The sequence below is a fragment of the Homo sapiens genome, chromosome 22, assembly GCF_000001405.40.
Source record: "Homo sapiens chromosome 22, GRCh38.p14 Primary Assembly".
Classification (NCBI taxonomy): Eukaryota; Metazoa; Chordata; class Mammalia; order Primates; family Hominidae; genus Homo; species Homo sapiens.
In genome coordinates this window covers 40228103-40251127 of record NC_000022.11, presented here as the reverse complement: position 1 = coordinate 40251127, position 23025 = coordinate 40228103, and the positions used below count along the sequence as shown (strand labels likewise).

At 41.6% G+C, this 23025-nt stretch overlaps 1 protein-coding gene across 3 annotated transcripts in view, besides 2 other annotated features; it reads right to left on the bottom strand.

Moving 5' to 3' along the window:
• The window catches only part of TNRC6B (trinucleotide repeat containing adaptor 6B), a 290975-nt gene that overhangs the window by 84681 nt on the left and 183269 nt on the right, over nt 1–23025 (bottom strand). For all 3 annotated transcript variants that reach the window (NM_001024843.2, NM_001162501.2, NM_015088.3), the window contains one exon: nt 5026–5113. In NM_001024843.2, the coding sequence (NP_001020014.1) occupies nt 5026–5113 (88 nt within the window). The remainder of the gene's footprint in view (nt 1–5025; nt 5114–23025) is intronic.
• Nucleotides 12422–13323: an enhancer, noted in NCBI's record as "H3K4me1 hESC enhancer chr22:40633809-40634710 (GRCh37/hg19 assembly coordinates)". NCBI's record gives its function as "activates a minimal SCP1, AML or CMV promoter by ChIP-STARR-seq in primed H9 embryonic stem cells {active_cell/tissue: H9 hESC(primed)}" and the evidence as "EXISTENCE:reporter gene assay evidence [ECO:0000049][PMID:30033119]".
• Nucleotides 22436–22937: an enhancer, noted in NCBI's record as "H3K4me1 hESC enhancer chr22:40624195-40624696 (GRCh37/hg19 assembly coordinates)". NCBI's record gives its function as "activates a minimal SCP1, AML or CMV promoter by ChIP-STARR-seq in naive H9 embryonic stem cells {active_cell/tissue: H9 hESC(naive)}" and the evidence as "EXISTENCE:reporter gene assay evidence [ECO:0000049][PMID:30033119]".

The following is a 23025-nucleotide window of genomic DNA, read 5'->3' as shown; positions in this document are numbered from 1 at the left end:
TGTATTTTCAGACTACTTTAGTCTGATAACTCAAGTAATCCAAGCTGTCAGGCACACAGGCATAGCTGAAATCCAGAAAAAGGAGCTGGGAGTCAGTTCAGACATCCTTCCAGAGACTGTGGCCATATGTCCAGCTATAATTTACATGACCACCATTAGGAAGAATAGTAAAACTTAAAAAAAAAAAAAAAAAAGCATTCCACTCATTATACGATGAGGTCCCACTGAGAATGCTACTTGCATTTTGAATGCTATGACTAGAGAAAAATCACATGAATGTGGCCCAGAAACTAAATTAGCCATAGACACAAAAAGATTCCCCTATGAGTATAGACACAAACACTTGATCTGAAATCTAAAAGCAAAACCTCAGGGACTCATCATCAGAGGCATCAGACGTCATGGTCGGAAAGCAGGATTCAAAACCAAACCTTGTCACTTTCTGGCTATGAGACCCCCAGTTTTCTATTATCTATTGAATGGAGATAATAATAGTATAAACCCTGCAAAGGACTGCTGTAAGGATTAAATCAGATATGCTATGCAGTGCTCAATAAATGTTTGCTGTTATTATCAACACTTATATAAAATAGCATGAAGTACAGCAGTAAGATTGAAATATGTAAATTTTGGACAAATCAAGGGTGCTTTGTTAAAAAAAAAAGAAAGTATTTCTTTATATAGTAACTAATACGTCTATGGAAATGATTAACCTAGAAGGCTGGACAGGCTGAACATAGTAATGGACTTCAGAGAGTTTGGAAATGATGATTAGGAGCCTTACAGAAAACTGCTTCTGATATTTTTAAGAGGGGAAAATAAAGGAGGGCATCTAATTTATAACAATAAAACCACAAAGGTGATGCACAAGCAAAACATCCAAAAGGAACTAAGCCATTGTTCCAATAGTGGTTACACTAAATTTTTGAGATTGTGGGTGATTCTGACCCATTTTCCCAACTGTTAATCTTTTAAAGCATTTTTACTTGGTTATCTGACTTTTGTAATAAAAATATTCATATAGCAAAGAAGAAGTCTGATGATTTGTGGCTGGTAATCGTACTGGATTACGGCCATGGGGGTTCACAAAAACACAATCATCCCTGGAAGGAAGGTCCTGTAGCTGACCAGCCCACCTCGCAATGGATCCCAGCACACCATCAGACTCTAAATAAGAGTTAAAGGATCCGCCTGTAGAACTTCCTGGTGTGTTTCCTACATTCCTGTGTTAAATGACAAGCTAATTCTATTACAGTGAATTTGTGGAATCCAGCATCTTAAAAATGAATGTTTCCCAGTACTGTTACAGAGCTCAATTCTACTGAAAATATTCTTGTGTAATTTTTCTACATCTTTACTTATCCAAGAATGAATGACAATGCAGCCACATACCAATTCCCGAAGGCAATTTAGGTTTTATATCATTGTAACTATTTCTTAGAATGCCATTTTGAAGATCAGTTATACAGGAAGTCAGTGCCTTCCCATTGTAAGCAACAAGCCCAAATAATGTCAAATATGTTTTATCATGTGGGTTCTGTTAAAAGCTGTCCCCCAGACGGCGAGAAGCTGGATGATCAAAGCATGTGTTCTGCCAACGCTAAACAATGCTCCTTTAGCAGCATCAGCCTAAATGAATGTGAATGGAACCCTTCTTTGACACCTCTCTCATGAATGGGTATCTACCAGTTTACTCAGTGATGGCTCCAGGAAGAGCCAACTGCTACAACCAATGAACACTGGAAAAGGCTCATGCTTAATTTCTGTGTGGAGGTAATTTAGTTTTAGCTTTAAGTAAGTGTCAATTCTTCAAGAAAATTATGTTTCCACCTTCATTCTTGACCATTCACTTATTAAACAATTTCTGAGTGATTATCCTGCACCAGGCACTGCCCTAGTTACTGGCCATACAAATACGAATAAAACCAAGAAACTTACAGTCAGTCTAACAGTGAAGATGGACACAAAGAGGTGGTCAAAAAGCACTGGGGAAAGCAGCATGAGAGATGTGGAAGCCCTTAGAAGAGGCACCACAAATGTTTGCGGACCGAATGAATGAACCACTGACCACATGATAGATCTCTGGCACGTTCTCCACGATTCTTTGCATCATAGCACATTTTATGGCTCCTAGCTGAGGTGATGTCTCTACAATAAGGTTGGAAACCACGAAGATAATCACATGGTAAGCTTTGTGCTCTCCTTAAAACTGCTAAATCAGAATTTAATTCTGAAATTATGCAATGGTTCAGTATAATAAAACAAGATCAAAGGCCACGCATCAGCCTGCGTCAGCCTAGATTCTATGTCAAGCTGATCTGGAACATTTTTGAGCAAAAACGATAGAATTTTTATTGTTCATAAAATTAATCACTTAAAAATTTTATTTACGGTAATTTTCCCCTTTGCTATCACTTCTTCATCAGTTCTTAATGCAGATGAAGGCACATAGGAGAGACTGTCCAGCTACATAAACTACATTCTCTGCATAAATAATCTCATTCACTCTCAAGTACATTCACACCATCTTTATTTTAAATCATTTTTCTTTGTGGAATCCAATCAAAGGCATATTACAGAGGCATATTTTATTAATCATTTTAGGTATTGATATTTGTAGTTTAAGAAAACACTGTTATGTATGTTAAAAATGAAGAGGAATATATACTCTCTAAATCACTCTGTTTGGCATCCTCTTGTTAACAGCCTTTGCTCAAGTACCTTGGTACCCAGCCTATTAATCACTCATCTCCATAGACTGCAAAATCCGATTTTTGTATCAACTTAGTAGAGGAAATGTGTGAGTGTCCTAAGGAAAGAAAACTTTCACTGAGGTTTAATCTCACATCCCTCCAGTTGGAGGTGGAGGGTGCAATGTGTGCGAGGCACGGCGACAAGAACCCAGAAACCACAGGGGCAATGCTACAAACACCCACAGCTGGTGGACCTGCATACTGCAACCTCAGTGACAGGGCATGTGGCCACGGACGCAAAGGAAAGTACAAAAACATCTCTGGGTTATCTGACTTCTATGGTTTTTTTTTTTTTTTCTAGACACAAGATCTCACTCTGTCACCCAGGCTGGGGTGCAGTGGTGCAATCTCCACTCAATGCAACCTCCCCCTCCTGGGCTCAAGTGATCCTGCTACCTCAGCTTCCAAAGTAGCTGGGACCACAGGTGTGCACCACCACACTCGGCTAATTTTTTTTGTATTTTTGTTGGTAGAGACGGGGTTTTCATGTTGGCAAGGCTGGTCTCGAACTCCTGGACTCAAGTGATCCCTCCTGCCTTGGCCTCCCAAAGTGTTGGGATTACAGGCATGAGCCACCACACCAGGCAATCTGGCTTATTTATTTAGACTTTTCACTCCAGAATTTTAGGCAATTCTAACAAACTCAGGTGAGAAGCAACACATTAGAAGCAGGTACCCTGACTGCATGAAGATGTGATGGAGAATATACCACTATTAATAGAGACAAACACAATTAAAAGCAGACAAAATCTTAAAGAGCACAGCGGTCTATTATAGCACCAAATAATAATGAATGTTCCTTTTAATTAAGTCATGAAGAAAAGATAAAATTACATTTCATATATTTAACATAGCAGGGACATATGCAATCCAATTCAGAAACTATTTTCAGAATTTTTCTTATGCTGATACTCACAAATTATTATTTCAATAATTCAAAAAATTGAGTTATGAGAAACGCTATATCCAATAATGCTGGAAAAACGTGCAGTGTTACACTGGCTTGTGTGTGACTGCCTTGACTGTCTTCTAAATCTAGAGTTTCCTCTGAACCTTATCACAGTTTCTTTCTCCCTAAACTTAGCTTCAATTAACTAGCACCAGGGCAGGGACCCTCGAACCTTTCCCACAGTAGGCCCTGCTTCCCAAATGCTTTACATAGCAGTAACAATACCTGACAGAAAATCACCTTACCTCCAAAAAAGGTACCAAAGCAACCCTGCTGAGCCAGAGCCCAAGTTAAGAGATGCAAAAAGAATGGTAAGGTGGGGAAACAGGTAAGATCAGACAACAGACAGGGCAGAGGGGCATGCTCTGAGGCAAACAGGGAGGTAAGGTACATTCTAACCACTCTGCCTTGGACAACTCTGCCGGACAAACCGCTCACCTGAGACCTGACAGGTGACAGCCGTTGGCCCTTTGCCTTTTTTCTTTTAGCATCTCTTGTTTTCTCTAAGCAATTCCTCAAAGCCACACAATGCCATATCCTCCAAAGCACTACGTGGGCTCACTAGATCCTTTCCGAGAGGGGTTTCTACTTGTAATTCTCCCAAGGTAGACTCATCTAGACAACAGCACCGTGGGTGGAACAAAAGAACACCGGGGCAAACCTCCAGCCAGTTTTTAAAAGCTATTCTATAGGCTTGCTTAAGAAAATATAGATTAAATTAATATACAAATAAGGAAATACGACAAGAGTTGAGAGTTTGAAAACTCTCTTGCCTTTGTAATACTGTTTACTGTTGTTTTCAAAAACTCAGCCATAGCATTATTTAACATCTACTTTATGGTAACAAATGCAGACCTTGAACTTTCTCCCACTTCCAAATATAAAAACTTTTAAGTAAACAAATGTCTCAAGTACCATTATTGGGATATCAGGTATTCAGGCCAGGTGCAGTGGCTCACACCTGTAATCTCAGCACTCTGGGGGGCCAAGGTGGGGGATCACGAGGACAGGAGTTTGAGACCAGCCTGACCAACATGGAGAAACCCCATCTCTACTAAAAACACAAAAATTAGCCAGGCGTGGTGGCGTGCACCTGTAATCCCAGCTACTCAGGAGGCTGAGAGAGGAGCATCGCTTAAACCTGGGAAGCGGAGGTTGTAGTGAGCCAAGATCACGCCACTGCACTCCAGCCTAGGTGACAGAGCAAGACTCCATCTCAGGAAAAAAAATAAAAGATATCGGATATTCAAGCCAAGACAGTTTCTTGTTCTGGATGCTGGATGCCTAGCAGATAAAAAGACAGACTTAACTGATTAAACCTACCTTCTGAGTGGCTTCTTTTTTCTTTTTATCCTCTTTCTTCCTTTTCTTGTCTTCCATTAACTGTTCTTCCCTTTCTTGCTCCTTCTCTCTATTAAAGTAACATCATAACAGAAGGTTATACATCTACATTCACAATCCATTTCCGCAGCAAATTGAATGCTTGTAAGTGGTGGGCAAGACGACATTTCATCTCTGTGACTGAATAGAACACAGTATTTCATTTAAATCAAAAGGATCCATAAAACTCACATTTAATTATTCCCACATCTTGGTTTGTCACCTCTTTTGTAAAACATGACATTAAGTTTCGTTTCAAAGAAGCCTATTAAGGTAAGCTTTTATAATATCTACCTAAAAGAATACACACACAAACACACACACACACACACACGATTAATTTCCACTCAGCAAAGGACCTGATTTGAATACGACAATATCCAGATGGCTTCTGGGCAGTATTCCTCACAGATAATGCAGAATATATTAACTCAATTATGGTACATATGTATTTATCATAAATTAGGTGTTTTCCCATTTCATCTTCAGAGTGGTGAACATAAAGCTCTATGTTCTGTATTCTAAATTTTTTCTCTATATGTATTAATACTATATGTTTTATATATTTTCTATTTGTTTTATATATTTTCTATTTCTATTTCTATTTTCTATTTTTAAGGCAGGCACTGAGTGTCCTATAAATCAATGTATTCCAGGATAGGCGTGGTAGCTTACGCCTGTAATCCCAGCACTCTGGGAGGCTGAGGCAGACAGATCACTTGAGGTCAGGAGTTCGAGACCAGCCTGGTCAACATAGTGAAACCCCGTCTCTACTAAAAATACAAAAATTAGCCGGGCATGGTGGCATGCTCCTGTAGTCCCAGCTACTCGGGAGGCTGAGGCAGGAGAATCACTGGAACCCGGGAAGAGGAGGTTGGAGTGAGCCAAGATAGTGCCACTGCACTCCAGCCCAGTCAACAGAGCCAGACTCCGCCTCAAAAATAAATAAATAAATAAATAAATAAATAAATGTATGTCCTATTGGGTGAATTCACTACTGTATCTTCCCGTACACATGAATTAAGACAACCAGGTTTTGCTCCACTGAATTAGAATAAAAATGGTATACAATCATAAACATTCTAGTTGGAGAAATGTGCTGAATCTGAAGAAATTAAGAGACTCTAATTTACAGCACACATTTGAAAAGTAACATTTATTGGAATGCTGTCAACTTTCACTCTATGTATCAACTGGGAAAAAACATACACTCAACCAACTGCAGTAACTTCAAAGCTCACAGTGGGAAACCCCAGACTCTATGCTTATGGAATTTCATCGCTGGAAGGAGACTTAAAGATCTAGTTCCCAGGGCCTCAGAATACCGAACAGATAACAAATCCATGGTTTCACAGATATCACCTAGCATAAGGCTGAGTTACAAGTGAGTCAAATTAAAGCTTAAGTGAATAACAGGTTTGCAAACATGGCAAAATCATAAAGATGGTTCCCGAAGGACTCAAGTTTGGGAAGCGGAGATCTAGTTTAACATACTGAAACTATACAAAAGGAACCATGGATGAAAACTGAGGTGGGCTCTCGTGAATACATAATGTCTTATTTATAGAAAAAAAAAAAAAGACTTAAAAAACTTTTTTACCTACATGTTGTCACTGACTTTGTCTGCATTCAAATATTAGCCTTTCTCCTTCTGCACCTCTGGGTATAAAGATATAAAAGCCTAATATGCAAAATCCACACAACCAAGGAGGAGATTTTACTGAAATTTCCTTAGGTCTTATGCTGGATTTCTTTGGAGTCAGACTGTGTGCCTCTGTCTAGGTGTGAAACACGCGGAGAAAATCCACCTGCAGCAGCAGTGCCCTCCTTTAAGAAAATGGATTTACAAACACTGGTAAGATGGATGTTGATCATCTCAGGCAGGCTGGCCACAGATCCTGTTATATTTGGCTCTTAAAGCCTTTTGCTTCCTCTGGCTGCAAGTGGAAGGAGTGGATGGGGTTCCTCATGCCCATGTTGCTGTAACTTGGCTTCCACATTTTACAGTGAAACCAACTACAGGAAAGTAGCAACCACAGCCTGAGTATTTCCTGTTTAAAGATTTGGTGTTTACAAAAAAAAAAAAGGTATTAGGTTGTCATTTTTTTCTAAATCTAAAATTATTCTAAAATTAAAAGTTTACTTTAAAAAATGCAATGTTAGCTGGGCGCAGTGACTCACACCTGTAATCCCAGCACTTTGGGAGGCCAAGGTGGGTGGATCACCTGAGGTCAGGAGCTCGAGACTGGCCTGGCCGACATGGTGAAACCCCATCTCTACTAAAAACACACAAATTAGCTGGGCGTGGTGGCATGCACCTGTAATCCCAGCTACTTGGGAGGCGGAGGCGGGAAAATCGCTTGAACCTGGGAGGCGGAGGTTGTAGTCAACCAAGATCACACCATTGTACTCCAGCCTGGGCAACAAGAGCAAAATAAATAAATGAATGAATAATAAATTAATAAAATAAAATGTAAAAAAAGGGGTAAGTTTTAATCAAACACGTTCTTCAAAAACAAACCTTTTCAAATATTGTCCCTATAAACAGGCAATTAAGGGAAATAGATTGAAATTCATGCTCAATAGAAGTAAATTCATTTCTAAAACAGATATATTTCAAAGCTTTGCAGGTGACAAGCTATACTTTCACCCTGTTTTTTGTTTTGTTTTGTTTTGGTAGGAGTTAGTCTTCTTTTTAAATTTCACTTCCTTAGGAAGAATCTACTTTGCCAAATCTGGCTTAAAAACCTGCCACTTTTAAATCAAAAATTTATAACAATAAATCAAATAGTGTGAGTCTCACCTTTTTTCTAATTCAGTACTGTTCTCTATCTAGGCTGCACATTAGCACCATTTGGGGAGCTTTAAAAAAATCCAGGCCGGTTGCGGTGGCTCACGCCTGTAATCCCAGCACTTTGGGAGGCCGAGACGGGTGGATTGCGAGGGCAGGAGATCTAGACCATCCTGGCTAACACAGTGAAACCCCATCTCTACTAAAAATACAAAAAAATTAGCTGGGCGTGGTGGCACACGCCTGTAGTCTCAGCTACTCGAGAGGCTGAGGCAGGAGAATTGCTTGAACCCAGAGGCAGAAGTTGCAGTTAGCCAAGATTACGCCACTGCACTCCAGCCTGGGTGACAGAGCGAGACTCTGTCTCCAAAAAGTAAAATAAAATAAAATAAATCCCTGTTCTGAGTGAGAGCCCAAGCAAAGAGCAATGGACATCTATGTGGAGAAGGCGTCCATGGGGGTGGTGATGGAGATGGGTTACATACAGGAGACTGATGGACTATTTAAGTATATTAAGAATAATAGGGACGGGCGCGGTGGCTCACGCCTGTAATTCCAGCACTTTGGGAGGCCAAGGCGGGTGGATCACCTGAGGTCAGGAGTTCAAGACCAGCCTGACCAACATGGAGAAACCCCACAGAGGTTTAAAATACAAAATTAGGTGGGCGTGGTGGCACATGCCTGTAATCTCAGCTATTCAGGAGGCTGAGGCAGGACAATCGCTTGAACCTGGGAGGCGGAGGTTGCGGTGGGCCGAAATCGTGCCACTGCACTCCAGCCTGGGCAACAAGAGCGAAATTCCGTCTCAAAAAAAAAAAGAAAAGAAAAAAAAGAATAATGACAGCCATGTTTCTCACTGTTGAGAAAATAAGTTACACAAATGGAAGAAAATGGAGAAAACTCAAATGAACTCTGTGGGGTTGGATCTAAATTAGTTATTGACGTGAACTCATGGTTTCCAATATATATAGACACAATAAATATTAGCTGTAAGTTTGTGTACATATGTGAGTATATATTCCTTCACACACGCACGTGCGCATGCACACACACACACACACACACACACACACACTCTTATTCCCTTAGCTCTGTCACTCTGAGGGCTGGAGAACAAGCAATATCCAAATAACAATGAACACACTTAGCACCCAGTTTTGTGGCTTCTATTCTTCACTAAATAAAACCAGAGTTCTCTGGAACAAGAGCTAATTCTGGGGGTAGCATAAGGAAAGTACAAGATGAACCTGGAATGTACATTTGCCAAGAAGCAAAAGAGTGCTCAAAGAATGATGGGATCCGTCAAATGACCACAGACGACAGTTTGAAGTGCTCCTACAAGCTAAATCTGGAACAACATCAACATCAAAATAAGTAATTATAGTAAGAGACTATAAGCCATTGTATAAAATAGGAAAACACAAGTTCATACAGAGAGAAATAAGCAAATGAATAAATTGAAATGAGGAATGGAATAGTCACATAGTTTCAAAACACCTCCCCATAAAATACTTGTCATAAAGGGTTGAGAAGAGTAATTACGTCAAGGAGAAGCCTGTCAAGATACCACCTTAATCAAGTAATCCATGTGAACATCATCAGCTATGGGACAAATTCAAACTGTGAGTTACATGACAGGATGCTGTAAGAAGAACACAGCATTGATTCTATGAGTCCTTTTAAATGTGTTTAACCTGAATACCATCAAAGGAACCATCAGACAACTCCACATTCAGAGGCATTCTACAAAATATACTGGCCTGCAATCTTCAAAAGTTTTAAGGCTGTGACAGTCAAGGAAAGATTGAGGAATTGTTCCAAATGAAAGGAGACTGCAAAGACCTAACAACCAAATGCAATGTGCGGCAAATCTCACACCTTGAATGGAGCTGAAGAGTAAGTGGTGGTCATGAATCGGTGTGTTAATTTTTTCCCTTTGATGGTTATATTGTGGTTTTACACCAGAATGTTCTTTTTGTTAGAAACAGACTATAGTATTGGTGAAAGGGCTACAGGTGACAGCATTGGATCAGCAGTTAATTCTCAAATGACTCAGGGGAAAAAGAGGCTTTTTAAAATCATACAGATTCAAACTCTGTAAGTTCGAGATTGTTTCCAAAAACAAAAGAAAATATAAACAACAAACACAAAACTATTGCTCAGGCAGTACCCCAGGTCAATTACATAGAAATCTCCAGGGATTTTCAGAAGTCCCTCCAAGTGGTTCTAACATGTAGCTAGGGTTGAGAAACTGCTCTAAATTCTTGTTTATACCTACACTTGAAAACATTATTACCTGATTTATGTCTCAAAAATCAAACCTCCCATCACCTGAGCCCAGGAAGCTGAGGCTGCAGTGAGTCATAATCATGCCACTGCACTCCAGTGTGGGCAACAGAGTGAGACCCTGTCTCCAAAACAAACAACAACAATAAAAAACCCTCCCATACAGCAACAAATGCAAATGCCAGGTGACTAGGTGGGTCCTACTTGATCATCAATTGCTTCTAAGTATGAAGGGCAAGAGAAATCATTCATATTTTCTCTCATCTCTAAATATACAGCCAGATGTAAAACTCATCACTTTCAAATTATTTAATTCATTCAACAAATTCAGTTAAGTATTTACTGAGTCTCTACTATGGCTTCCAAAGCAATACTATGGGCACCTCCAATTCCCTAACTTTGTGCCAAGAATAGTTTATAGGTGCACCCAGCTTCCAGGTACATATGGAATACAAAGCCCCTCAAACTCCTTACAGCCCAGCCTGGGACTGCTGCTAGCCCAGTCCAACCTCATCTACTTACCCCAGTGTGCTGTACTAATCTTTTCTCTGTGTGTCTTGACCTGAAAAGGTTACGAAGCATTGTCTAGGGGAGCTGGGGGTTTAATATTGCCTCTGCAGGGGACGAATGTGTGGGAGGTACTGTGCAGGCAGGCAAAAGATAAAGCAAGTGCAAACACCATAATCTAGAATAAATCCTGAATGGTAAAAAGCCAAACTACTCTTGAGAACCTCTCAGGTGAAGAGCGAATACAACAGTGTTTTCTTCTTAATTTTTTACAATAATAGTAGAGAAAAGTAGAAGTGACTTGTACCTGAATAGAAAATACCCAATATTCGGCCGGGCACAGTTGCTCATGCCTGTAATCCCAGCACTTTCGGAGGCTGAGGCGGGCAAATCATGAGGTCAGGAGTTTGAGATCAGCCTAGCCAACATGGCGAAACCCCATCTCTACTAAAAATACAAAAAAATTAGCTGGGCATGGTGGCGGGCTACCCAGCTGCTTGGGAGGCTGAGGCAGGAGAGTCATTTGAACCTGGGAGGCAGAAGTTGCAGTGAGCTGAGATCGCGCCACTGCACTCCAGCCTGGGAGACAAAGCGAGACTCGGTCTCAAAAAAAAGAAAGAAAAACAAAAAAAGAAAATACCCAATATTCACAATATTCACTTAAGCTGAGGCATAACAAGACTGCCCCGCATGCAAGTTCAGAACACCAAAAAGCAACGATGCTGAGATCCCTAGGAACCGGCTACATCCCAGAACTGAACCCTCCAATGGTCCGAGACCATGCAAAGGGAAAGCTAAGAGCTTGAAGCATCTGTAATTGGCATTCAAAGCCATTCATAGTACAGTTCTAGCTTTTACATTTTCCTCATTCTGCACGCCTGACAAAAACCATCCTCTTTAATGCCCATCACACCTTACCCTAGTGGCAAGTCCTAGCTCAATATCCACTTGCTTCAACAGCACCATCCCCAGTAACTCCAACTCTAGAGAAACTTGCCTTCTTCTGCAGACCCCACAACTATTGCCCCGTCTCTTGTTTGGCCCTCAAGGTCTCAAGGCAGATGACACCGGTACTGGCAGCATCAGAGCACCTGAAGTGACTTTCTGCGGCATGGCTGCTTTTACCAGGGTGGTAACAGGCACAGACCGGAAGGCACAGACTGACTTGGCTCTCTTCTACTAGGATGTCCAGGAACTGACTCATTCCTTTAACAAACATTTATTGTCTAATATGAGCCAGGCACTTTTCTTTTCTTTTTGAGATGGAGTCTTGCTCTGTCACCCACGCTGCAGTGCCGTGGCGCAATCTCAGCACACTGCAACCTCCGCCTCCCAGGTTCAAGTGATTCTCACGCCTCAGCCTCCTGAGTTGCTGAGATTACAGGCGCCTGCCACCACGCCCAGCTAACTTTTGTATTTTTAGTAGAGACGGGGTCTCACTATGTTGGCTGGCCTGGTCTTGAACTCCTGACCTCAAGTGATCCGCCCACCTTGGCCTCCCAAAGTGCTAGGATTACAGGCGTGAGCCACTGCGCCCAGCCGAGCCAGGCACTTTTTCTAAGCACTGGAGATCTGGCAGAAACAAAACCGAGCTTTGGCTCTCATGTGACTTACATCCCAGTGGGGGAGAAAGGCAACAAATGAACAAGATATACAACAAGATGCATGTATAAAATACACAGTTCAGGCAACAACAGTGCTCAGGAGAAGACAGTTCACCTGACAGAGAAGGAGAGAGGTGGGGAGAGGGCAACACCTTCCATATAATAGTTAGAAAAGGCCTCTGATACAGTTGCATGAGAATGGAGACTCACTGAGGTGAGGGATGGGGCCATGTGGGTATCTGGGGGTGAACATTCCAGACAGAGGGAGTGGCAAATGTCAATCAGTGAGATTGGTGTATCTGAGGAATGGCAACCAGAATGCAGTACAGGGTGTAAGGGAGAAGGTGGCAGGGATGAGACCAGAAGCAGGATTCGGTGGTTGGGGGCGGGGGGATCTCCTTACAGGGAATGCATTTTTTAAATTAACCAGCACATATTTTCTGGTAATTGAATAAGGAATCAAATTGCGACTGGTGAACACAAGCACCTAAATGCAAAACTTCCAAAACCTCTCATTCTCAGTTTCAGTCAGGAGGCCCGCCTCTCTCCTCAGCTGTCAACCTTGCTATCGGGGGGCTGGCCTGCTGCACCAGAGCACCCACCACACTAGAGAACGGCGAGTCGAGTGTGTGTGCGTTTGCCACAGCTGAAGCCTCTGAGCACAAGGGAAGGGGAATGAACCTTCCTTTTCTCCCTGCCCTATGTCCGTGGCACAAACACCAGAAACACAGTAGGGCCTCCAAGTAAATGCTACCAAAATGCATCATTAAAGAGTGAGCAACACTTTCTACCCTCCCGGGGGAGATGCGTTTAAAGAACAGCCTCAAAACAACGAACTACATCATCTAATAAACATGCTGAGTGTCTATGATATGCCACGCACTGACCTGTGACACAATCAGGATATAAGACTGGGCAAAAGAAGGATGGTCCCTGCCCTCAGGGAGCTGACATTCTAGATGGGAGACAGAAAACACACACACACAACGCCAGGCAATGCCATGAAGACAAAAAGCTGGAAAGGGGCCAGAGTGTCTAAGAGGGAAGAGATGGGAAGAGGGGGCTGCCTTCCATGAGGCGTCCGTAGCGGGCATCTGTGAGACAGGGACATCCAGACTCCTCCATAAAGAAAGCCATCTGGGAGATGAGTGACCAGGCCAAGAGAAGAGTAAGTCCCAGGGCCTAAGATGGGAAAGTAAGTGCTGGGTGTGAGTTTGGGGGAAGGGAGATGGCTACCCCCACTTCTTCCTTCTCTCGGCAGCAAGCCTCCCCAGACACACACCCACACCTTCTCTGGTTTTCTGGCTTACTTGGTAGTCACCCTCATCTACACCAGAAGAACTGGGCACCGTGGCTGCAAGTTTCCCTTCCGCCGCATCAGTTCCCTCAGTATTTCAGTGCTCACTTGATGCCAGGCACCAGGCTGAGGCTGAGAATTCAGCAGCAAACAAGATGCAGTGCTGCCTGCTTTCCTGGGGCTCTCAGTTCCACTTTTTAAATAGTCCTACCTCACCTCACAACCCAGACAGCACCTTCAGGGCAGAAAATGTGCTCTCCTTGCTCTGTTCCCTGTCTCTACCACACTTTGGAATACTCTGAAGACAGCCTGCAGTGCCTTTGCTGTTTTGAAAGTACCAGGATCTTGGATGTGTGAATTCAAGCTTGTGATAATCCAGGTTAGAGATCAACTTTTGTTTTTGTGACAGAGTCTCACGCCATCTCCCGAGTGCAGTGGCACAATCTCAGCTCACTGCAGCCTCCGCCTCCCAGGTTCAAGTGATTCTCCTGTCTCAGCCTCCCGAGTAGCTGGGATTACAGGCATGCACCACCACGCCCAGCTAATTTTTGTATTTTTAGTAGAGATGGGGTTTCACCATGTTGGTCAGGCTGGTCTCGAACTCCTGGCCTCAGATAATCCGCCCGCCTCGACCTCCCAAAATGTTGGGATTATAGGTATGAGCCACCATGCCCGGCCAAGAGATAAACTTCTTTCCACAAACTAGAGTCATGACCAATGGTTGCTGTATGCATGTCTCTGAGCCCATCGTGCCTCAAACATGCAGGAGAGGCAGGGCTGACAATTTCACACTTGAACATATTAATCTCCACCTGTAGGCTGATGGGAATGAAAGGATGATAAGAACCTTAATTCAGAAGAACAGCCAGGGTTCATCTTGACAGGAAATGGCTCCACATTCCCAGAAGCATCTTCCCTTCCATTAAGGTCTGGATGACTGGCTGTAACAGCATCAAAACCTATCCCTGACACCCTGTGATCAGTAAGTGTGGCAGCACCTTCGGTCCTAGTTCCAACTCCACAAAATCAAGGCAGACAGACCGGAACAGGAAGAGAGCCACCCAACACGGGAACTATGCCAGAAGTAAACTAATACTGTAAAAGATTAAAAAGAACTCCACAATAAAAAGGAACAAACCATTAATAATACACCAACTTGGATGAATCTCCATGGAATTATGCTGAATGAGAAAAGCCACTCCCAAAAGTGTCATACTGTAGATTCCATTTAGATAATATTTCTGAGATGACAGGTGGTTGGGCGCCAGAGGATACAAAGGGGGGTAGGGTGAGGCAGGAGTGGTTATAAAAAATGGTGACACTAGTGACCCTTGTGGTGACAGAACTGTCCTGTATTTGATGGTGGTGGATACATGAACCCACATGTGATAAAATTGTATAGAACTAAACACATAGGCAATTAAATACAAGTAAAACTGGGGAAATCAAAATTTGGCAGATCGTATCAAAATCTGGGTTGCGACATTGTACTATAGTTCTGCAAGAAGTTACCATTGTTGGAATGGCATACAGAATCTCTCTGCCTTGCTTCTGGCATGTGAACCTACAATTATCTCAAAAATTTCAATTAAAAAAAGAGAGCTTCAAACATTGACTCATCTTTTGGTCTCCTGTTTGAAATTTTGTCAAGGACTCCTACTTTAAATCATTTTCTTTATGAAAGTCACGTTAAGAGTCAAAAGGAATTTGAGAAATCATTTAGTCCCCACATTACAGAAATAGATTTCCAAAAATACTCTAGAATCTACACTTCATCTTAACATGCTCAAATTGTTAGTTTAATCGATCAAGTATTCCTTAAGTATAGCAGGAATAGACAGATAGCCACAAGGGTATTTAAAATGCTCCTCTGACACATAATTCACAATACAATTCTTTTCCCAGGAATTTTAGTGGTGTACTAGTCACTGAGCTATTATCTCACTTCGTGGTAGTATCTTCATCAGCTCAGTCAACACCAATTCCAAGCCCCTCTGGCCTATTTCCAAGACTCCTTCACAATTAGAGATGGGGATGTGATTTATGCTATGCCAATAAGGTGCATGTGTGACTTTACCAGAGGACACACAGGGCACCCATCTTCTCAGAGAGCGTTGTAGGGATGACGTGGTCCTGGAGCCTACCCCTGTAACAGCAATTTCCTGAATGTGCAGGAAAAGAAAAAAGCTCCCACGGGACCCCCAGTTCCATGGTGTGGTGCTGGGCGTCACCTGACCCTCAGCCTCTCAAGTACCATTTAATAAACCCACACACCAGTGAGAATGAATTCTACTATCTACATACTAAGGACTCTGCCCAATACAGATTTAAATAGGGGTTTTCAAAATGCACCTAAGACATGTGACTTGTATGAACATTATTTCCTTAGAAAATAAAAGGTAATCTTGGCAACTTATAAAACAGTAAGAAAATAACTAGCCACAAAACCATTGCCAATTATAACTAATTAAGGATTAATGACACCACACGCAAATTTGGGGTAAGAAAAATTAACAAAGGAGTACAATGAAGAGAGTTAAGCCAAGTGCTCAAAGTATCCACTTAAAATGTTTTTAATTAAAAATGCACACACACAAAAAGCATGTTGGAACATATCCATTCAGGCAGAGGAAATTACATAGTAGGGTACTCCAAATATGTATATTGGATTTGTTCTTAACATTTTTTTCATTTGCTGGATCTGAGGGAATTTAATGGGATGCTAATGTAATTTGCACATATTAAATTAGCAGACAAGGCCAAATAGCACTAGGGCATAAAAATCATTCTAAGTGGCTTATAAGAAGAAAACAACATTAAAACTAGAAAGATTAAGGTAAATGCATTTTTAATTAATTTTAAGGGATAAAGAAATTTCTCCTGCCTTCAATTTTATTATGTGACATGTGATAGGTAACACTTTTATATGTTGGTAACAAAATGTAACACAGTTCCTTCTACATTGTGTTACCTTCCTTTCTGAGGCTGTGTAAAGCAATGCTTCTCAAACTTTAATGGGTATCTTGTTAAACGCAGATTCTTATTTAGAATGCTGTGGGACAGGGCCTACAATTTTCCATTTCTAATAAGCTGCTGGTCCCTAGATCTTTGAGCAGCACACGAGTATGCACTTGGTTGTTTCTTTTCAAGAAAATATAGAATTGTAGTCATTTCTTAGTTAAAATCTCATTAATATCAAGCATTCGCCTCATTATTTGTATCTGTGTTTCAATGTGTAATTACAGTATAACCTTAGTGAAGTTTTTGTTTGTTTGTTTTGAGACAGGGTCTTGCTCTATCACGCAGGAATGCAATGGTGTGATCATGGTTCGCTGCAGCCTCAAACTCCTGGGCTTGAGTGATCCTCCTGCCTTGGCCTTCCAAGTGGCTGGGACTACAGACATGCACCACCATGTGCAGCTAATTTTTTAATTTTTTGTACAGATGGGGTCTTGCTATGTTGCCCAGGCTAGTCTTGAATATCTGGACTCAAGCAATACTCCTGCATCGGCCTCTCAAACTGTTGGGATTACAGGTGTGAGCACCGCACTCGGCCTGGGAAGGTATTTTAGATTAAACAACTCGTGTAGCGTAGCCTTTGTGAAACTCTACTGAAACGATGACATTAGGAATAGCTAGGACCAATCTGTGCATGTGCAGGCAAGAACAACTGCCAGCTGGATGACAGCAAATGAAAGGCACCAGCCATCCAAGGGTGGCATCCACTGTAGGGTGAATGCAGACTTCAGAGATGTCAAGTGAGTAAAAGAACGTGAGGCTCAGAATCCATGAAATATGGCAATAGACTTTTGCCGACATAGCCCTCTGACTCCAAGCTTTTCATGAATTTCCCAGTTTACGTATTTTAAGGCATATGCAAGGAATTGGCTTGTCTGGAATTACTCAAACCAAATAAAGTAAGATAATTTTTTTTTTTTTTGAGACGGAGTCTTGCTCTGCTGCCAGGCTGGAGTGCAGTGGTGCGATCTCAGCTCACTGCAACCTCCGCCTCCTGAGTTCAAGCGATTCTCCTGCCTCAGCCTCCTGAGTAGCTGGGACCACAGGCACATGAAACCACGCTGGGCTAATTTTTGTATTTTTAGTAGAGACGGGGTTTTGCCATGTTGGCCAGGATGGTCTTGATCTCTTGACCTTGTGATCCACCCTCCTCGGCCTCCCAAAGTGCTGGGATTACAGACATGAGCCACCGCGACCGGCTGATAATTTTTTTTTCTTTTTTGTGACGAGTCTTGCTTTGTCGCCCAGGCTGGAGTGCAGTGGCGCGATCTTGGCTCACTGCAACCTCCGGCCCCAGGGTTTAGCAATTCTCCTACCTCAGCCTCCCAAGTAACTGGGACTACAGGAACGAGGCACCACACCTGGCTAATTTCTTTTCTTTTCTTTTTTTCTTTTTTTTTGAGACGGAATCTTACTCTGTTGCTAGGCTGGAGTGCAGCAGATCTCAGCTCACTGTAACCTCCACCTCCTGGGTGCAAGCGATTCTCCTGCCTCAGCCTCCTGAGTAGCTGGGACTATAGGCGCGCACCACTACACCTGGCTAATTTTTTGTATTTTAGTAGAGACAGGGTTTCACCATTGGCCAGGATGGTCTTGATCTCCTGATCTCGTGTTCTGCCCGCCTCAGCCTCCTAAAGTGCTGGGATTACAGGCGTGAGCCATCGCGCCCAGCCACGCCCGGCTAATTTTTGTAGTAGCGACAGGGTTTCGCCATGTTGGCCAGGCTGGTCTCGAATTCCTGTTATCAAGTGATCCGCCTGCCTTGGCCTCCTAGAGTGCTGGGATTAGAGGCGTGCACCACTGCACCCAGCCAGCTATTTTTAAAAACTTGTTTTTACTTTCCAAAATTCTATGTGGCAAAAGCTATAACCAACAATTTGAAAGCTTTTTCCCCGCAAAAAATTTCAGGGTTAGAATGGTGCCTGAAGAACATTTGTCTCATGCTTTACATACTCTAGAGCTGGGCAGCTCAGCAAACTCGAACAAGGAGAGATGTGGCTTCCTACTCAAACTTAGTGCAGCTGGGAAGGAAGTTCTTCATAGTGCCTTGAGAAATGTCTCCTGATAGCTTCGACTCCCTGGTCCTAAAACTTCCTTTTCAGAACACATGGAATAAATTCTCCAAATATGTGCAGTTATCCATGATGCATCCCTGAAACACTTTTAGTTCCTTCACACATTCCACTCACGACCTGGTTTTCTATCCCCTTACCACTGGGATCATTATCCCTTAAACATGTTCCAGTTTGTCTACCCTCATCCAATTACCGGGCAAGGCAACCAAATAGGGTGGGCCTGCCACTTACTTGTCCCGTATGATATGCCGCTGCTAATACTGTTAAAGAGGTCATTTGCTTTCTTGGAAATCACATCTTACTGAGTTACAGCCACCTAACACTCCTGTTTTTTCACAATACTGCTAAGTCACTTTTCCATGACTGAGTAATTATGTATCTCTATTAATACCGTCAGTGCCAGACTGTCAAACTGCCATCACCACCTCTCCTGATCTTCCCTGCACTTCAGGAAATGGCCTGGAACTATATTTTCCAGAATCCCATTCCCTGTAGGGTTCCAGGTTAGCTGCCACCAAGGAGAGGTACCCTTCTTAGATCTGGAAAGCAGAAAAGAAGTCAATATTCTCTAGAAACAGTTGCAAAAAGACACATAGGCAACAACAGGCAGGACTTTCCTATTCTGCAGCAGCTTCCAGATCATCTAAAGCCATAGCTGCATGCAGCTGACATGACTGCTCCTCTAGGAATATGCACTCTAATTTCATCAACAATAATAGGAGCCTTCCTGAACTTCTTTCATTAGACTTTCCAGCGGTTGTGTGAACCTTCGATTCCCTATATTAAAATCTTTCCTATTTGGAAAATCAAATGGAGCCTACCAAAAAGGTTACCAAAATTAATAAGTGAGTTTAACAAGGCTGCAAAATACAAGATCAATATAAAAAAACTAATTACATTTTTACATACTAGGAACAATCAGAAATAGAAATTTTAAAAAAAGATTCCATATATATAAGTTTCAAAAACTGTGAACACATAAGAATAAATCTGACAAAAATATGCAAGTCCTGAATATGTACACTGAAAACTACAAAACATTGCGGATAGAAATTTTTAAAAACCTACGTAAGTGAAGAGATGTACCATGCTCATGAATGAAAAGACTTAATATTAAGATGTCAATCATCCTCCAATTAATTTAGATTCAACGAAATCTTTATATTAAAATCCCAGCAGAATTTTTTTGTAGAAATTGACAAGTACCTTCTAAAATTCATATGGAAAAGCAAAGGATTCAGAATAGTCAGCAACTATAAAAAGAACCAAGTTGGAGGACTTACACAACCTGACGTGAAGACTTATTATAAAGTTAAAGTGATTAACACAGTATGGTACTGTCTTATTTTTCTATAGACAAAAAGTTCAATGGGATAGAACAGAATCCACAAATACACTGATATATATATATATAGAGAGAGAGAGACAACCAATTTTCAAAAAAGCTGCAAAGGTAATTTAGCTGAGAAAAGAGAGTGTTTTCAACAAATGATGTTAGAATAACTAGTAGGAATATCTTTAAAAATGAACCTCAATTTGTACCTTGGCAATATATAAAAATTAATTCAATGAATCATAGAACTAGATGTAAAATCTAAAACTATAAAACTTCTAGAAGAAAACATACAAGAAAATCTTTGTGACCCTATGTTAGAAAAATTATTTTTTTGACACAACACCAAAAAACATGATTCATAAAAGAAAAAACCCTGATATATTGGACTCAAAGTTAAAAACTTCTGCTCTTCAAAAGACATTTAAGAGAATAAAAAGATTAAGCCACAGACTGAGAAAAAGTTATCTGCAAATCACTTATCTGACAAAGAATTTATATACACAGTATATAAAGAACCCCATCTTAAAACCGGGCAAAAGAGGCCGGGCATGGTGGCTCACACTTGTAATCCCAGCACTCTTGGAGGCCGATGTGAGTGGATCACTTGAGGTCAGGAGTTCGAGATCAGTCTGGCCAACATGGTGAAATCCCATTGTTACTAAAAAAACAAAAATTAGCCGAATGGTAGTGGTGCATGCCTGTAGTCCCAGCTACTAGGGAGGCTGAGGCAGGAGAAATTGCTTGAGCCTGGGAGGCGGAGGTTGTGGTGAACCAAGATGGTGCCACTGCACTCCAGTCTGGGCGACAGAGTGAGAACCTGTCTTTAAAAAAAAAAAAAAAAAAAAAAAAGAAGATGGGCAAAAGATTTGAACAGACACTTTGCCAGAGAAGACATACATGTGGCAAATAAACACATAAAAAGATATTCAACTTCTTTAGTGATTATGAAAAAAACAAATTAAAGCCACAATGAGATGTCAACACACATGTACTTGTAGAATGTGCAAAATTAAAAAGACTCACCATTCCAAGAATTAACAAATGGAACTCTCTCATGATGGGAATGTAAAATGGTACAATCACTTTGGAAAACACTTTGGCAGTTTCTTAAAAAGCTAAACATACACCTACTATATGACCCAGCCATTCATTGCCTAGGTTATTGACTCTAGAGAAAAGAAAGCGTATGTCCAACAAAGACTTGTAGATGAATATTCATAGCTTTATTGATAAGAGCTGAAAACGAGCAAATGCCCAAATGCACATCAATAGGTGAATGGATAAACAAATTAAGGTGGAATATACAACAGAATGCTACTTACTCAGCAATAAAAATAATGGACTATTGTTAAACACAACATGGATGAACCTAAAAATAACTATGTTGAGTAAAAGAAGCCACACAAAAAAGAGTACCTACTGAACAATTCCACTTGTATAAAATTCTAGAAAATGTCAACTAATCTATGGTGACAGAAAGCACATCAATGGTTATCTGGGGTGGAGAAGGGGCAGAGAAGGGTGGCAGAGAGGGGTGATAAATGGGCAAGAGGAGACAGAGGGTGGTGAAGGACATATTAACTATCTTTTGCATACATCGTTTGAAACTTACCGCATTGTAAATGTCAATAATACCTCAATAAGGAGGTAAAAGGAAAAACAAAGAAGAGAGAGAAAAAAAAAAAAGCCTTTCCTACAGGGATACCTGGAATGGCCCATTTCCCTGGCAGAACCCTGAATGACACAGCCCCGTAAGTGAGATCCCTTTATCAGTTGAAATTTCACCCTGGGTGTGCACACTGTTCCCTAAGATCACAAATCTGTAAATCAGAACTTCTGCACAGATAATTCTCCTAGGATGGGTGCCAGGTTTCATTTTTCAATGTAATGAAGTCTCTTGTAGAAAAGAGCTTAATAAGGCAAATGTCTGAATTTTTAGAGCTGTTACCTTTACATCTCATTGTTTTAATTCTCCGGAGTGCTGTAAACTACCAGCATCTTCACTGAACTTTCCTTCGATCAGTAATACCTATATTATGTGTTTATAAGGCAATTGAACCAAAGCTGTTAATTTTTTAACCATTCTTACGGTTTTGCTTGACTTCAAAGGACACCTTAGGTTCAAAGGACACCTTAGGTCTTAATGTAAGATTTAGTGAATAAATCTTTAACATCACCTCACACCTCACATTTTACTCCTGAAAGTACTTTCCTATACATTACAATTAATATGCCATGCTTCTAACAACAGCCTGAAATTAGGAGTGGTTTTACAAATATCCAAACAGGCTAAGAAACAGCCTCCTGGGGCTGGGCGCGGTGGCTCATGTCTGTAATCCCAGCACTTTGGGAGGCCGAGGTGGGTGGATCACGAGGTCAGGAGATCGAGACCATCCTGGCTAACATGGTGAAACGCCGTCCCTACTAAAAAAAAAATACAAAAAATTAGCCAGGCATGGTGGCGGGCTCCTGTAGTCCCAGCTACTCGGGAGGCTGAGGCAGGAGAATCGCTTGAACCTGGGAGGCGGAGGTTGCAGTGAGCCGAGATCACGCCGCTGCACTCCAGCCTGGGCGACACAGCAAGACTCTGTCTCAAAAAAAAAAAAGAAACAGCTTCTCAACGAGGGCTTATACCACATACTCTAACATACATACATTTATCTATTTGTTTATTTATTTATTTTTGTTTTATTTTATTTTTGAGACGGAATTTTGCTCTTGTTGCCCAGGCTGGAGTGCGATGGCACAATCTCGGCTCACTGCAACCTCCGCCTCCCGGGTTCAAGCGATTCTCCTGCCTCAGCCTCCTGAGTAGCTGGGATTACAGGTGCCCAGCACCACACCTGGCTAATTTTTTAGTATTTTTAGTAGAGACGGGGTTTCACCATGTTGGCCAGGCTGGTCTCAATCTCCTAACATCAGGCGATCCGCCTGCCTCGGCCTCCCAAAGTGCTAGGATTACAGGCATGAGCCACCACTCCTGGCTCACATACTCTAATATTTATAATCTGGAACTGCTAAAAACTATG